Source organism: Homo sapiens, chromosome 9, assembly GCF_000001405.40.
Source record: "Homo sapiens chromosome 9, GRCh38.p14 Primary Assembly".
Taxonomy (NCBI): Eukaryota; Metazoa; Chordata; class Mammalia; order Primates; family Hominidae; genus Homo; species Homo sapiens.
Window position 1 is genome coordinate 120,449,187 of NC_000009.12, and position 17,012 is coordinate 120,466,198.

The window sequence follows — 17,012 nt, forward strand, 5'->3', positions numbered from 1 at the left end:
CTTAGCATATGCCGACTCCTTTGCCCAGAACACTTACTCCTTCCTACTTCCCCGACTAACTCTAAATAGCATTCATTAAAACTCAACTCAAATGGGCCTTCCTCAGGAAAATGGGACTTGATTTCCAAGACCAAGGCAGGGCTCCCTATTAGACACTCACTGTCCCCTACATATCCCCTCAGAGAACCTTAGTATCATTTTAATTAAATGCCTGTGCAATTATCTGTTCCTTGTCTATCTTCTGCACCAACCTGTAAGCTCCAGGGTTAAGAGGCTTTGCATATCTTGGCCATACTCTCTGTATAGCTTCTAGCATAAGAACTAGTACACAGTAGGTACTCAACAACTATTTGTGGAATGAACATATAAACAATAACTTAAGAGGCCAAATGGGGGTCTCTTCCAACTGGGGAATTTTAAACATTCAAAAGCTGGGAAGAGGGACTTAAATCCAGGCTATATTTAAAGAAATACTACGACTCAATAATAAAAACAAATAATCCAATTAAAAGATGAGCAAAAACTCTGATAGTCACTTCTCCAAAGGAGATATGTGTATGGCCAATAAGCATGTGAAAAGATGCTCAACATCATTAGTCACCAAGGAAAATGTAAATCAAATCACAATAAAATACCACTACTTCATACCTATTAGAATGGCTATAATCAAAGGACAACAACAAGTGTTGATGAAGCGGAGAAATTGGAACCCTCACACACTGCTGGTGAGAATGTAAAGAGGGTACAGGCACTTTAGAAAACAGTCTGGCAGTTCCTCAAAAAGATTAAACATAGAGTTACCATCTTACCCATCAATTCTACTCCTAGGTATATACTCAAGAGAAATAAAAACATTATCACCCCCAAAATTTGTACATGAATAGCAACATTATTTCTAATAACCAAAAGTGGAAACAGCTCAAATGTGCATCAACTAATGAATGTGGCATATCCACATGGATATACTATGGAATACTGTTTGGCAATAAAAATAAATGAAGTACTGATACATGCTACAACGTGAATGAACCTCAAAAACAGTATGCTAAGTGGAAGAAGCCAGTCACCAAAAACCACATATGACATGATTCCATTTATATGAAATAATCCAGAATAGGCAAATTGAAAGAGACACAAAGTAGATTCGTGGTTGCCTAGGGCTGGGGTGGGCAAGTTCAGGGGAAATGGGAAATGACTGTTAATGAGTACAAGGTTTCTTTTGGGATGATGAAAATGTTTAAAATTGTTGTCCAACTCTGTGAATAGACTAAAAAAAAACCCACTGAATTGTATACCTTAAAGGGATGCACTGTATGACATGTGAATTAAATCTCAATAAGGCTGTGTTTTTTTTAAAGTTTTTAAATAGCAGAGGAGAAGGAACCCAAGAGGAAAACAGAAAATATTTGGGACCCAAGAAATGAGATCACTGAGGTCTCTTAAGAAGGAAAGAAGAGTAAGGGCCCCTTCTTGAACATTCTAGGATATAAAATGCTTTCAAGCACACTTTCCCATAATCCAGAAGTAAACTCTGCATTCCCAGAACTCACAGGATAAGAGACATTATCATTCTTACTTTCCAGATGAAGAACCGAGATGTCAAACAACTAGTCCAATGTCACAGTGCAAGAAGGTTCAAGAGTCAGACCTCAGACTAGCTCTTCAGGGTCCACTGCTCAGTTCGGAAAAGTGAGATGCTTTCTGCTCTGAAATTCCAGGTAAGAGGAGAGAGCAGGTTCAAGGATAAGAACAGTTTGAGGTGGCAAAAGGAGACCACGTGGGAGGAGGTGGATGCCTCAGCAAAGAGGGCTGGAAAATAACAATCATTTGCTTCGTCCTCAGTCTCCACCAATCTTTATTCCTGGATCCAAATCTGTGTGTCATATGGCAGCAGAAAACATATCTGCAAGTGCACAAATGCCAAAGCCAATTTCAAGCTGGAAGACTGCCGTCAGTCAACCTAATGCTTGTTCTAAAATAACACCACACAAAATGCTACCTTATGGACTCTAAACAGAGTCCCACCTACCACATTATTGAAGATGTCACATTGGAATTTCTTCCTTGGGAATGGAAGGGAAACAGGAACTCACACAGTCTGAGCTCCTACCATGTACAAGGTACTGTACTAGACACTTGCCAAAGGCTCAAAGCAGGTAAGTGGCCAGGCCGGATGCAAACACATGTATATCAGTAAAGTCCATCCTCTTGTCTGTAACTAAACAATTGAAAGGATACTTGGTCTCCGTGTTTCTATAACTAAACAACTGTAAGGATATCTGGTCTCCTTGTCTCACCCTCGGGCTGCAGTGATGTTCCTTTTAACAGGATATCAGAGTATCCTATTAAAAGAGGTAAGCCATAGGATTATCAACTCCTTAACTACCAAAGACCACAAAAAATATCATTAAATTTCCTTCTACTTTGCATAGACTGGAGGCCATGGTGGTGATTGGAGGGCTCTTCTCTCCCAGAGAAAGGCAGGTTTATAATATCCCTGTCTGCATTTAAAACCAGACTTTAGTTTATATCCCTGTCACTCCACTTACCAGCTAAATCACTCTGGACAGTTTTCTGAGCCTTTTAAGAGCCTATATTTCTTCATAAGTAAAATGTAGGTAATACCTACCAAATTCATACTCTTGTTGAGAATATTAAATGAGATTATATATATTATATATTATATATATAATATATATACAGACAAACAGAGAGTATCTAGCACAATCCCTAATAGATACTAAAAATAATAATAAACAAATACGGTTTCCTTCCTTTTGAAGACATAGCAAGAGGAATAATTTCAAACTAAAAAAATACATATTTTAATATATTTGGGGAAATTAAGTCCATTCAATTCTCCAGTTTTCCTGAACACAGAATAACATCTCTCACACAATGAAAAATTCAAACAAAAAAAACAAACAAACAAAAGACACCTAGTTTTCCTGATATACAGGTACAAATTGAAGGAGCTGGGGCAGATGAGAGCATTTCTATTATAGCCAAATTGCACAAATTTGCATTTCTAGTACCGTTAATATAATGGCAGTCTCTCTCTCTCTCTCTCTCTCTCTCTCTCTCTGGTCTCTACTGATATCTTTAGAAAACTCTTTTCTAGAAATTACAGTTTTGGTGCATAATTTAAAACAATCAAAAGCAATTTTGCTAATGATATATCTAACTCTCTTTTGTATGCGCAAAAGCAGTAATTTAGTGGTCAGAAAATAAACTTAATTCTCCATTCTGATGCTATAAAGCAGTGTGTACAGTTGATTTCTCAAATACAAAACACCCATCAGAAACAAGAATATCAACAGCCTTCACTGAACCACTATTAGAAACACGACCTATTTCCTTCTCTCCCAGAACACATCTCCCTTCTATAGGGATTCTTGGCCGTGGGGGGGTCAAGCCGTGACCTCAAGAGGATTTTCATAAGGGTCCAATGAAACATTGCCAAAAGAATCTGGTTTTAACAATCTGGCATACTTGATAGGATGTGCAGAGCTTAGAGACAGTATCTAAGCTGAAGGAAAATCAACATGCAAACATTCACTCAACAAACCCGGGTTGGAAGGTAGCCTGATCCAGGGAAAGGGTGTGGCTGTGCAGTCAGGTACAGTGGGAGTCCCAGCTCAGCCCCTTAACCACCGGTTAACAACGGGAACATGGGGTGTGGCTTCCAGATCTTTGATGAGTGTTGTCAGGATAAAAGAATATAGATGAAGCCCTCAGAATAATACCTCTCCTACACAAAGTCTGCACAAGATAAAACCTAGGTTCTCATCCCTACCCCTAAAGTCAGGTTATGACAATTTGACTGCAACCTGCAAAAGCAAATGTTCATCAATACAATGAAAACTGTATAAATTTTGGGACATCTCCACAATGCAACCTTATGTAGCCATTACAAGGAAAGATGTTCCTCATAACATGAAAGAGACAGCTACAGACAGATAGACAGATGTATAAACAAGACCTCACGTGTGTTTTTTCTAAGGAAAACACATAAATGTCACAATATATAGATAAATTAGATAGGGCTGAGATGGAGGAAGAGAGACAGAGGGAGTGAGGGGAAGGAGAGGCAGGGGAAGGTCAGTGAGGACATGCAGCTCTGGGTGGAGGCCAGGGTAAGTGCAAGCAGAGGGAGACACTGGACATTCTTGTCATATAAATGGGAAAAAAGTGGTGAGATTAAAGGTGATTTTTAAAGTTTTTTGTTTGGATAAAGTAAGTACATAATTATTACATGGAAAAACTTACTCTGTTGGTAATACCAGGGAGGGAAAGGAGGGCAGCCTGCCACCCAGGCACCCCGTGCAGGTTCTCTGGCCGATGCTCTGCGCTGAGTGCAGTGTTGATCGGTTTCTCTTCCCAAGCCTCTCTTGTTGCTTCATGCTTGAATCTCAGCAGGTCGCCCTCCGTGGCCACAGTCTGCACTGAGGCATCTTTCAGTCCTACCTTGGGCACTTCGCCTGCCTTTACTAGCTGGGCCTCACAAGACAACTTCAGTTCATCATGTGGCTTGGAAAATGAGTTGGTTTGGACAAAATGTACAAGTTCACCTTTTTGCTTAGGTGTCTTCTCAGTTTTACCATCAAGGTGTTCTCCAGAAACTTCCTGCTCTGTCAAGAATAGTTGTCCCAGAAGCAGTTCCCGTACCACTTTCAGAAGGTCTGGCCTGTTTTTCCAAAAGGGAAGGAAGTGGGAGAACCAAGCTTTCTGCTAGGCCTTGTCCCCTAGCCAGTATCCCAAGTTATCCCCACCTACTGTTGCCCAGATTCCATCAAAACTAAATACAGTGTGTACCCACAACGTGCCAGGGCCCACATCCAGTATTTTATCCTGTGTAACCTCACGGCACCCAAACAAAGCAGGTACTACCATGTCATTTCATGGATAAGAAGAATAGAATTAATTTAACACAAGGTACACAGCAAGTGAGTGGGCCACATAAATATGTGAATGCAGGCTGGGCCCAGGTAGAAACAAACGGGATTATAAGGTGACCATGACAATTACAGGGTCCTCCCTGACTCTACCCCGCCAGCCAACCTCCTGGCCCTGGCCCCATTTCTACATCCAGGGGCAAGTATGGCTTTAGATGAATCTGGCCAACCTGGCTGGTCCATCGATGACCTAATCCATCTTGGTACACAATGGGTGCTTAATAAAGAGGTGTTAATGAAGGGATATTTGTACACAGGCAGAGTAGAAAGCGCATTGGCTCTGAAGATGGATACAAATCCCTTCATATTCTAACTCTACAATTCTCTGAAAAGAAGATAAGTATTCCTCCACAAGACAGCTATGAGGATTAAACAAGATAGTGTATAGGCAGCAGATGCTTTTCATGTCCTTGCCACATACCCTTGGCCCACCTCTGACTTCAGCTGCGGCTGTGTGGACAGTTCCCATAGACATAGTCCCACCTCAAACACCCTCTACGTCTCTGCTGCCTTGGGGCTTTTTCCAAAGCTCTGTGAGCAAGCCAGTAAAGCAGTGTGGAAGTGTGAAACAGTTTCCATTTCTGGGGAAACTCTCAACCAGTGAGAGAAGACAGCTGTTGGGTAAATGTCCCAGTCTCCCATCCTTCAGACGGACCACACAGGCACAGTATATACAGTCCCTCAGAGGGTCCCCAGCAGTAACCAGATCATTATTGCACCCTTATTGACTTTGCTTTCATTCCTGTCTTACTCTCCCTGAGCCCTCATTCCTGCTCCCTGATGTCAAATCCCAAATAAATCCCTTACACTCTAATCCATATCTCAGGCTCTGCTTTCCAGGGAAGCAAAACTAAGCCAGCATGTAAAACACCTGGAATGGTGCTCGGGTGGAGTAACTCAAGAAGAGCCCCTTGTGTGTTTCTTGTGCTGGGCACTGCAGTGGGCACTGGGGATACAAAACTGTCCCAGGAGGACATGGACTGGTTTTAGAGAAACATACGTAAACAAACTATGAGGGTTACAGGGCAACCATCCCAGAGTGCCCCAGACTGGGGGTGGCAGGGAGAACAACAGCGGAGGGCTTCTAACATCAGTGAGAGGCAAGCCTCGAGGAGAGGAAATGGAACAGTCTAAGCATGGAAAACAACGTGAACAGAGTCAAGTAGCCAAGAAGGGGTGAGGCTGGAAAGATGAGCAGGGAAGAAACGAAGAGTCCTGTACAACACGTTAAAAAAAAAAAAAAAAAAAACGAAGGCCACTGAAAGGCCCTGCGATGGACTGGGCCAGGCACACACGTGCTTCAGAAAGGTGACTCCAGGCCAGGCATCATGGTTCATGCCTATAATCCTAGCACTTTGGGAGGCCAGGGCAGGCAGATAGTTTGAGCTCACAAATTCGAGACCAGACTGGGCAACATGGTGAAACCCTATCTCTACAAAAAAATACAAAAAATTAGCCAGGGATGATGGCATGTGACTGTAGTCCCAGCTACTCGGGAGGCTGAGGTGGGAGGACGGCTTGAACCCAGGAGGCTGCAGTGAACTGAGATCACACCACTGCACTACAGCCTGGGCAACAGAGCCAAACCTTGTGTCAAAAAAAAAAAAAAATCAAGAAAGGTGACTCTGGCTGCTGCTGCATAGAGAATGGACGGAGAGGCCTTGCACACAAGGAGCTCCCCTCATGCTGGTCTAATCACAGAGGAATGACTGCAAAATATGCACACCTAAAAAATAGTGTAAGGTACACTATAGGGCTCAAAATCAAGATAAAAGTATCCAAAGATCAAAAACAGGAGAAAACCCACAGCTGCAAGAAAAGGGCTGTTAAAAAGACAACAACTTAACAAATGAGAGAATTCACAATTGAGGAAATAGAAACAATAAAGCAATCTGAAGAAGATTTTTAAATAAGTATGTTTAAATCATCTAAAAAATAAAGGGAAAAAAATTCATAAGAGGGAGTTATGAAACTGGGACAGAAAATTATGGGAAAATAAATGGGGGAAGTAGAGAGGAGAGACCAGCTGGAAAGCTGTGGCTAACTCCTGGGAGAAAGAAAATGCAGGTCTGGGTGAGGTGGTGGCAGTCAGCAAAGAGCAGGGGACAGAAGGTCCTCATTGGTGTTAGTTCTTTTTCCTTCTCACTTCGGTTTCTACTACCTGCTCTATTTCTAGAAACCTGGTGAAACAGTCAGGCTGTACTCTACAACTCCTTTAACATACTCCGAACTTCCCTCCCTCCGATCTTTGCTGCCACTGGCAATGACAGGCACCCCTGTGTTGTCTTTCCCACTGAGCCCTCTGAGGGGAGAGAGAAGGCCCTCTGCATATCCAGATTTCTATTATCTAGATGGGGGCAGAGTCAACTCCATTTAAATAGCTATAGCACACCAAAATGGGGTTAACAACAAAATTTACATGTATGGTACATTTTTCACCTCTAATGTGAAATTACCTAGACAACAGAAACAATCTCAAACTATAGTAAACCCAGACTTTTAAAATATTTCTGGCATTTCAAGCTTCAGGAGATGTTAAACTAAATTTTCCTTCCCTCCGCCTCTTTAACATAGATTAAAAAGTAATGACAATTGTTATTTGGCTAGCCAAAGGAGGACCATTACTCACCACCAAACAACACAATAAAACTGAGGAAAAATACTTTACAAATGGGTAGTAAAAGGTGGTGAAAGAGGCCATTATAATATACTAAAGTGGTGGTGCTACTAAATAAAATACTTCAAGTGTTATTTTGCTAGAAATCTGAACAGCAGATTCATTAAGCTATCACTATAAGCAGAACCTTTTCTACGGTTCAGTCCAAGAGACTTCTCAGAGCCCAAATATCGTTTATATCCCCTTCCTGGGCATCTGTGCCATGAAGAAGGTATAAGGGGAGAGGAACTCACATTTCCTAAGCACTTACCATGTGCCAAATCCTCTAAATACACTGAATCCTCACAATAAGACTGTGAGAGGGGGATTTTTTAAAAACCCATTTTACAGATGAAGAAATGGGCTCATAAAGGTTCAGGATCCCCCAACCAAGTGTCAGAGCAAAGATGAGATTCCAGACCTTTCTGACTCCCAACCATTGGCTGGGGCTGAAATGCTTCCGTTGCCAGAAGGGAGCATTCCCCCTGACCGCCCAGTTCACCACGCTCCTACCACAGCCCACTGCACTCTCCCTGGTTCACATCACCCAAGTACATTCCCACATGGCCCTCAGACAAAAAGTGTCTTTTAACTCTGAAGTAAAATTTGGGACCCTGATGTTTAGGAAATCCTCCATTTCTCAAGCACCAACTACTACGGTCACCTAACTACTTCTGATAATAAGCCAGAATTGCCACTGACCATGTCTTCCAAGAAGACTCAAGCTAGAAAAATATTGGACAGATGTCAGGGATTGGGGAGGAGTTAGCTTTGCTGAGCTCACAAAAACAGAATGCTTCAATCCCGTTTTTTAGCTGAAGAAATGCCTGTAAGGCTTAGTCCATCAATGATAGAAGAAATACTAGGGTTCCTGGCTCTTATCAAGAGTCATGGGCAATCATTACCGTTCCATTTCTCTATCCATTCAGGAGGAGAACTAAAAACTGTTATTGAACACGCATCACACCAAATGCCAGCCATTTTTCTTAAACGTTTTTTTCTTATTCATCACAGCAACCCTAAGAAGTAATCAGAGAAACTGAGGCACTGAGAGATAAAACCACAGCTCTTTTTGGTTCCAAAGCCCAAGCAGCTGTTATGGATGGACTAGGAAGAATATGAAAGGGGCAAAAATTACTCCTAAAGGATTAATTGAAAAAATACAAATGTACTGAATGTTTCTCCTTTTTTGTTTTAAGGAAAACAACCTGTAGTATCTCCTCACATAGGAATGGCTCCCAACAGATATAATGAGAAGAGAACTTTAATTCAAGCTCAGCAAAAACAGCAGAATCACAACTACAATGGTATTTTTTAAGCTGTTGTCGAAACTGGAAGATATTTCGGTAGGGCTGATTCCTCTCGCTGACAGCAAGGCAGTCCTTTCTGGGGGCTCCCAGGAATAATTCCCAAAGAAAGCTTTCTTTCTCCTCTTTATAATGGGCTTACATGAGGCTTTGCTGACGTCCCCTCACAGCCACTAGCATGCAGCCTAATTACTTAATTTCATGACTGGCAAGATTCCTTCCAAGCCATTTCAGGAGCTCTCTCAGGTAAATTACACAGCACGATCATCTAAACCCATTTAGCAAAATGAGTTTGTTCTCCCCTAGAACTAGAGAAACAAAGGAATGCCTGGGCCCCATGTATACCTGGATTCCAGTAATAATGTGGCCTTCTCATTGAACAAAGGGGCAAGCAGGTTTATGAATGCACCTTCTTCTAGGCAGCCAGGTGCGTGGGCCCCATCACAATCTGAAATCTTAGACTCCGTGTGCCTTAAGTATCCATTTTTGCAGCCTCCTTTGGAAAGGTCTTTCATAATCTGCAAATAAAAGTATTTGGTCAAATAATGGAATAAGGAGGAAGGGAATGGGGTGTGTGGAGAGAGGATGGAGATGCAGGGTAAGTGAGTAAGTGAAAATAAGCCAGACACACTGAGCCAGAGAGAAACAGAAAAGAAAAGGGGGAGGAGAAGGAGGAAGAGAGAGAGACACAGGCATGCAGGTGCATACATACTCACTTTAACACAGGGAGATGTTCTAGAAACAGGATAGAGATGTTTACATCACTTCTCCTCACCCTGTTTCCTCACCTATAAAATGGGGGTAGTAATGGTACCTCCCGAGGTGGTTAGGAGAATGAAATGAGACCACCTCAGGTGACATGTCTTACTCACTACAGGTGCACAATGGAAATGTGTTCTCCCACCCTTACAGCCCAATCCTTGAAAGTTCTTCCTAAGAAGAGTATGGAACCCATGTTGTGATTTGAGTGCTTATTATATTCTTCTTGCAATGTATCCTCCTTATTATATATCACAAAGCTGACTTACTCTTTTCAGACACATATTATTTAACATGGCTTTGATCTTTCACATTAGGAAGATAGAGAGTTCCTAATTCCCATGGAGATGTTATTTACCGATCCACCTTCTTGGATCACTGAGGGTCCCAGAGGAGTGGTATCAAAGATGCATCTAGTTAAAGCCTGTACTGGGCATGTCTTTGAGGTGCTGCAATTAACATTCTTTCTCCCCTATCCAAAGCTGTAAATTTCTTCTACCAGTCTATAAATAACTCCTCTTGACTTCATTACTGCTGGTGATATACACACTAGCCATCACCCCCATCTCTCCATACTGGTGAAATGATTAAGATTTTTAAATGGAAGACAAGACCTACACAAATGAGTTGTTACTTATAGGGTCTTCTTTGCCACCAATCTAGTTATTAAATCCAACTAATAAGCAACCTCCAAAGAAGGAAATGTCTAGAATAATAAAAATAATTATTATTTACTGAGCACTTATTACATGCCTTTCTATTTAAATATCATAATCCTAAAAGGAAGTATTACTATCCTCATTGACAAGGAAACTCAGGCTTAGAGGTTAAGCACTAATTAACCAAGGTCACAGAGATAGTAGTGCCAAAGCTAAGACTTTGAATGAGGTTGATCTGGTTGCAAAGCCCCCACTTTTAATTACTTTGCTTTCTAAAACTATCTACATTTTAAGATCTCCCATTTGTGACTCCACAAACTTGAACACCCTGAAGGCCAAAAATGCCAAATCTGTAGCATCTTACCCCCACCACATCCCAGTCTCTAGGGTTCTTTCAACCTTGGAGACTGCTTGGAGTCTCCTACTTATTTTATGAATTAGAGGGTTGGAGACTGCTTGCTCCACATGTTCAGTATCAATGTGATTGGAAGAGTGCTCTATGTGTACGGGGGTGAGATTCTCACAATGCCCAAATGACAGTAACGTGGGTTCCAGATGAGGAGATTGCAGAGGGCCCCTAGGAAGGGGAGCTAAGTTCCATCAGTAGGTCTTTACACCTCAACTAAATGATCTGGTAGTTTACACAGTCCAGAAACAAGGGTTCTTATCCCAACTCTATCACTAACTTACTCTGTGCCCCAAATAAATCATCAGTCCTCAAAGCCTTCAGTTTCTAATTCATAAAATGGGTTGGATTACATCACTAAAGATTTGTCCAGGTCAAACATCCAATGCCTGCTATTCTACTATAACAAGCCCATTTTTATTTGCAAGTTTATGCTCGTTTTCATGTTTCATGACTGGCTCTGTCACCCAGTTTATAACTTATAAGAAGGAAAAGACCTAGTCTTTGCTTTCCACTGGCACATGAAAGGTACAGGATATAGGCAGAATGAACAGAAAACCCACTGGACTCATTCCAGACTCGAAGACTGATTTGGACATAGAGTGGAGTAGATGAAATAAGGAGTTAACTGAAAGGTTCCTACCTCATTACTCTGCTGCAAATGCTGGTCACTCAGGAAATTAATCTCGTCATCCTCCCCAATTTTGATCGTGTCCTCGTCCTCCTTGCTAGCCAGAAGCTACATGGAGCATGGAATGGTGTGAAAATGCAACCCAAAAAAGTGTGCAGCATGAATATGTATGAATAAGTCAGTGATGTCTTTTTTTTTTTAATGCAAAACAAAAAGCAAACAAAAAAGAGGAAGAAACAAATGCCAAAGCCATGAAATAAAAATTAACCAAGGTTAGAGTTGCTAGTTGTGGCGAATCAGACACAGCTGCCTGGATCAAGCATAATTTAAGGACAAATTCCCCAAGAAAATAACTAAAGGCATTGCCCCTTGCCCTTGCATGGCCTTTCCTGAGCTGCCGTAAATTAAAAATGCCGTCTATTATGCCACTGCCACTCCTGCCTTTACTAAATTCACTTTCAGATTATATAAAAGTAACAAGATTTTGGAAAATAGCTATTGATGGAATTGAAAATATCAAACAGCAAGAAAGTAATAAATGAAATTTATGGTGTGCCCAATTTATGCATCACTTCTATTTAGCGCAAGGCATAAACCTCTTCTTGTTGGACTGTCACACATCTGAGATGGACAGTCCTGGCAACACTGTCATTTTGCTGACAGAAATTCCTCATCTCTAATGAGAAGAGTATCACGCTTGCGTGACGATAACTTTATGCTTTTGGAAATGAAGGACAGTTATTTATAAAGACTGCATAAATCCCTAATGCTTCAAAGAAGTGTAAATCCCAAAGCTTCTGAGTTCTACAAAATGGACGGTACAAAGTTCTCAAGAAAGCCAGTTCTCAGCTCTCCGCAAAAGCAAAAATTCTAGTCATGGGGCACCTGAATTAACCAAATTAAAAATGAGAGAAAAGGTGGCCAGCCACTCCCGGATAAGGAATCAATCAAAGCTATGTCAAAATTATACCAAACCTTATCTGACCAATAAAAGAGTCTGGCCAGGTGCGGTGGCTCACACCTGTAATCCTAGCACTTTGGGAGCCCTAGGCAGGCAGATTGCTTGAGTCCAGCAGTTCAAGACCAGTCAGGGCAACAGAGTGAGACACCTGTCTCTACAAAAAACACAAAAATTCGCCGGGTGTGGTGGTACATGCCTGTAGTCCCAGCTACTCGGGAGACTGAGGCAGGAGGATCACCTGAGCCCAGGGAGGTCGAGGCTGCAGTGAGCCGTGATCACACCACTGCACTCCAGCCTGGGCAACAGAGTAAGACCCTGTCTCGAAAGCAAAAACAAAACAAAAGAGTCTGCACCGAAGGTGCTGAAACCACAGAGTATTGGGTCATTTGTTGGGCATGTTGTACGTGTGAGATACCTACGGTTCTAGCTCAAGTTTTATTTCTGAATCCCTACATTTAGTCAATTATCCCCATAGCTCTCCAGCCCAACTCTCTGTTTTTCCTTTCAGAGGAACAACCTTGTTGTGGAAGAAAAACAAAACAAAGGCAACTGAGTTCAGTTTTTATAGAAACTTCCCAGGGTCAGAACATGTTCAATCTGACCATATCCAAATCTGCAATCAGGATCAAACAGAAGTGATGATCAAAAACCACATCCTACTATATTATCCAGCATGAAACAGACTAGACGTGCATAAATATACCTACTGAAGCATAAAAGTCTATAAATATGGGTAAGGAACCCTCTTTGTCTTTTGGCTTCTTCCCTCATTACCATAACATTCTCGAGTGATAAAGACTAACTGGAACTATCAAACTTGTTGGTGGGAATATAAAATGTTTGGAAAAAGTATTGGCAATTTCTTATAAAACGAGTAATCCTATGACTCAGGAATTCTACTCATAGGTACTCATCAAATTAAAAAAAAAAAAAAAGTGTGTCCCAACAAAGAATTGTACATGAATGCCCATATCACCTTTTACCCAAGTGTCCATTAATAGCAGAATGAATAAACAACTGTAATACACTCATGCAATGGAATACTACCTGGCAATAAAAAGGAACAAACTTGATGCACTAACCACATGGATGAATCTCAAAAACATAATGCTGAGTAAAAGAATATATACAAAAGAGAATATACTGTATGACTCCATTTATATGAAGGTCTAGGCAAAATTAACCCATAGTGGGACAAAATCAGAAGAGCAGCTGGGGTGGGACTGGGTATGGACAACAGAGGACATGCAGGCTCTTGATAGGGGTTTGCCTTACACAGGCACATACACTTGTAAAACTTAGTGAACGCAGGCTTACAATTTCTATAGTTCATTTGACTATAAGCATTTATTGAAGATATGCACATTGAAGTACTTGGGGGAAGTATACTGATGTTTGCAGTTTCAATTAAAATTTATTAGAAAGATGAGACAGAGTGATGATGGGCAGGTGGGAAATGTGAATAGAACCTAGGTGGTGAGTATATGGGTATTCACTGTGTCTGAATTTTTTCATAATAAAATATTAGGAGAAAGTCTTTCCCATCTTTTAAAAAACAAAACAAAACAGGGCCAGGCACGGTGGCTCACACCTGTAATCCCAGCACTTTGGGAGGCTGAGGTGGGCAGATCACGAAGTCAGGAGATCGAGACCATCCTGGCTAACATGGTGAAATCTTGTCTCTACTAAAAATTAAAAAAATTAGCTGGGCATGGTGGCGGGCGCCTGTAGTCCCAGCTACTTGGGAAGCTGAGACAGGAGACTGGCATGAACCCGGGAGGCGGAGCTTGCAGTGAGCTGAGATCGCGCCACTGCACTCCAGCCTGGGTGACAGAGGGAGACTCCATCTCAAAAAACAAAACAACAACAACAACGAAAGTCTCCCCCTGATTCCCCAACAGCTCTGGCCACTCAGTATTCTCTGCCTCTCTCCAAGCTTCTGCAAGGGGTCTATTCTCACCTTCTGCAATGTGGCTTTACTGCCCAGGAAAGGTCCCCAAAGACCTTGTTGTATTAATGAGAGATGAAATCCACATGGGGTTAGGAAAGAGGCACGGAGAAGCTCCTCCCAGACTCCTGCGGATCTGAGAAGGGTTTCCTCTAAGCTTAGCTGAGCAAAGAAAGTATTGTTAACACATCATTCCAAGTTGAAATATGAAAAGCGTCAAAGTTATTCTGCATTTCCAGAACCACAACCATGCCAATGCTTGACACAGTTAAATAAAAATTAACTTTCATTTCTCTTTACCTCTGCTGACGTGGTCAAGATTAAAAGTAAACTCTCGGTTTCCAGGAATGGTCAAGAAATTAAATGTTATGGACATAGAGAAACATACTTCATGCTGCATGCTATTTACTCATTTTCAAAGATCCAGAACTAAGATGTCAGAAAGAACTGAGTCACTATACCTGGCTCGGCTTCCAGCCCTACCACCACTAAAGAAGCAACCTCCAAGTGTCAACTGGCTCTATCCTCATTTCATCACTTCTCATCACTTCTCTATCCCCTGCAAGCTGGCTTCTGTCCCCCTCACTCTAATGAAACTGCTCAGGTCATGGGACTCATAGGAAGTTCTCAGTACTTTTTTCTTTCTTGCTTCTCAGAGTGTTCGACACTATGAAACACTCCCTCCTTGAAACCCCACGCTGTTACTCTGCACTCTACTGCCTCTCCCCCTGCCTCTTGAGCTATTCTTTCTTCATCTGCTTGGCAGCTCCTCTTCCTCCTCCAGGGAGAACTTCCCTTAATCCCCAAAGTGAGGGCTGGGCACCTGTCTACAACTCCCTTGAGACTCTGCATTCACTCCATCACAGCCCTCACCACACTCTGCCCCAATTGCCCCTCTGCTTCTCTGGATTACATCCTAGACAGGGCGGGGACATGTGTGCTCATAGTTTTAACATCAATGCCTGACGCTCAATAACACTGCTGAACAAATAAACAAATGAATAAAGACTTTTTTCAAAACGAGACCTAGAAACAAGTCGTTTTCAGGATTACCTCTGGTCTTGCTACTCAAAGTGTATTCCTTAGGGCAGCAGAAGCATCATCACCCAAATTTGTTAGAAATACAGACTCTCTGGCCCCATTCCAGGCTTACTGGACAAGAATCTGCATTTTAACAAGACTCTCAGGAAATATATGTGCACATTAAACTTCAGAAGCACTGCCCTATGGTGTTGCTAAACAATTCTACACAGAGTCAGAAGAGGGTTATAGTCCCATCTCCGCCACTAGCATACCAAAAAAAAAAATTAAAATAGCTGTTTTACTGAGTGCATACCATATGCCAGAACTATGCCAAGGGCTTTATAAATCATGTAAATCTCATAATAACGTATGAAGTCAAATTGTTAGAAAGTTCCTCCTTTAAATGAAATCTGCTCTGACAAACCAGGTTTGTTCTTACTATTAACAGAATATTTAACAAGCACCTTCTACTTCTGACAACCATTTCTGTCCTTTAGAGTCACATAAGGTCTATTTCTTGTCAACATGACAGCCCTACAAATATTTGAGTTCAATTAAACTATGCCCCTTTGTCCAGGTTTCCTCTCTACGTCAAAAAAAAGTGAGTTTTCTAACCATTCTTAATAATGACAATATAAGTAAATAATAATAGTGACTAACCCTTTCGAGCCTTTGCAGTGTGCCAGGACCTGTGCCACATGCTTTCTTTACACAGAGCCTATAATCAGAGGGCAGGTCCACAAGTTATACAGTTCCTGGCTTTCTATGCTCACCGTCCTGACTACACTCTGCTGAAATCACTCCTCTATATCGATTTTCAACCTAATTCTCCTATAATGCATGAAAAACCAGCAAATAAATATGAGAAAATAGGTGCAACCTCATTAGAGATTTTTTTAAATGTACACAGCAACAACAGGATACCTGTTCTTGGTGTTCTGTTTGTTTGGTGGTGTCTACGTGAACTACCAACAGGCAGGAACTGAGCACCGTGGTACCCAGCTGGTGAGGCTCTACACCAGGGCCAGCATCTTAGAAAGAAATCTGACAAACTCTATCAGGGCCTTCAAACTACTTACAGTCTTTTACACATTAAAAGTTGTTGGGGGGAGGGGGAAAATAAATAAATAAATGAAAATAAATTTTATGCCTATTGCATATTTCTATCTGTCCTTTGGCCTACTAATGACACATATCTGGGAATCAACTCTAAGGAAAAAAAAAAAAACCTCTAAACACAGAAAAAGATTTGTGTCCAAAGACATTCATTAGGAAATTAAAAATGGCAAATCACTAGAAATAACCTACATGTCCAACAGCAGTGAGGCAGTTAAGTTTCAGCACATTCATAAGAAGGAATGAGATGCTATGACATAATGGCAATTAGCAAGAACAGGAGACAAAGCTGCATTCCAGGAGAGATGTGTGCATCCACATGTTCATACACACAAATACAGAAGGAACACTTCCAAACGTTAATTAACTGTGTGCTTGTTTTAAAGTGACAGAATTAGGGGTAATTTATTCTCTCTCTTTTCCAAATGTTGGGGTAATGCTATGGGTTAATTAAATATTGGAGAAAAAATACTGAATTTTAAAAATAAAAATATACTTGCTTTTCCCCCCTCCTTTTCTGATTTATAGTCTCCTACAGAACAGGAATCATACCCAGACCTCACTTTGCAAGTCATGCTGCTTGGGAAATGC

General features: G+C 41.4%; 1 protein-coding gene across 18 annotated transcripts in view; it reads right to left on the minus strand.

The window, feature by feature from the left end:
- Nucleotides 1-17,012, minus strand: part of CDK5RAP2 (CDK5 regulatory subunit associated protein 2) — a 191,293-nt gene that overhangs the window by 60,312 nt on the left and 113,969 nt on the right. For 6 of the 18 annotated variants that reach the window (NR_073555.2, XM_047423587.1, NM_001410994.1 and 3 more), the window contains 3 exons: nt 11,386-11,481; nt 9,264-9,436; nt 4,270-4,687 (listed from right to left, as the gene is read on the minus strand). The exons of 3 other annotated variants lie outside the window; for them this stretch is intronic. Coding sequence is in view for 10 of the 15 variants with exons in the window: in XM_047423587.1 (XP_047279543.1) it covers nt 4,270-4,687; nt 9,264-9,436; nt 11,386-11,481 (687 nt within the window). In the remaining 5 variants the exon portion in view is untranslated. Of the gene's footprint in view, nt 1-4,269; nt 4,688-9,263; nt 9,437-11,385; nt 11,562-17,012 lie in introns of all 18 variants that reach the window. 9 more of the 18 variants (NR_073558.2, NR_073556.2, NR_073554.2 and 6 more) reach the window with 3 other exon arrangements.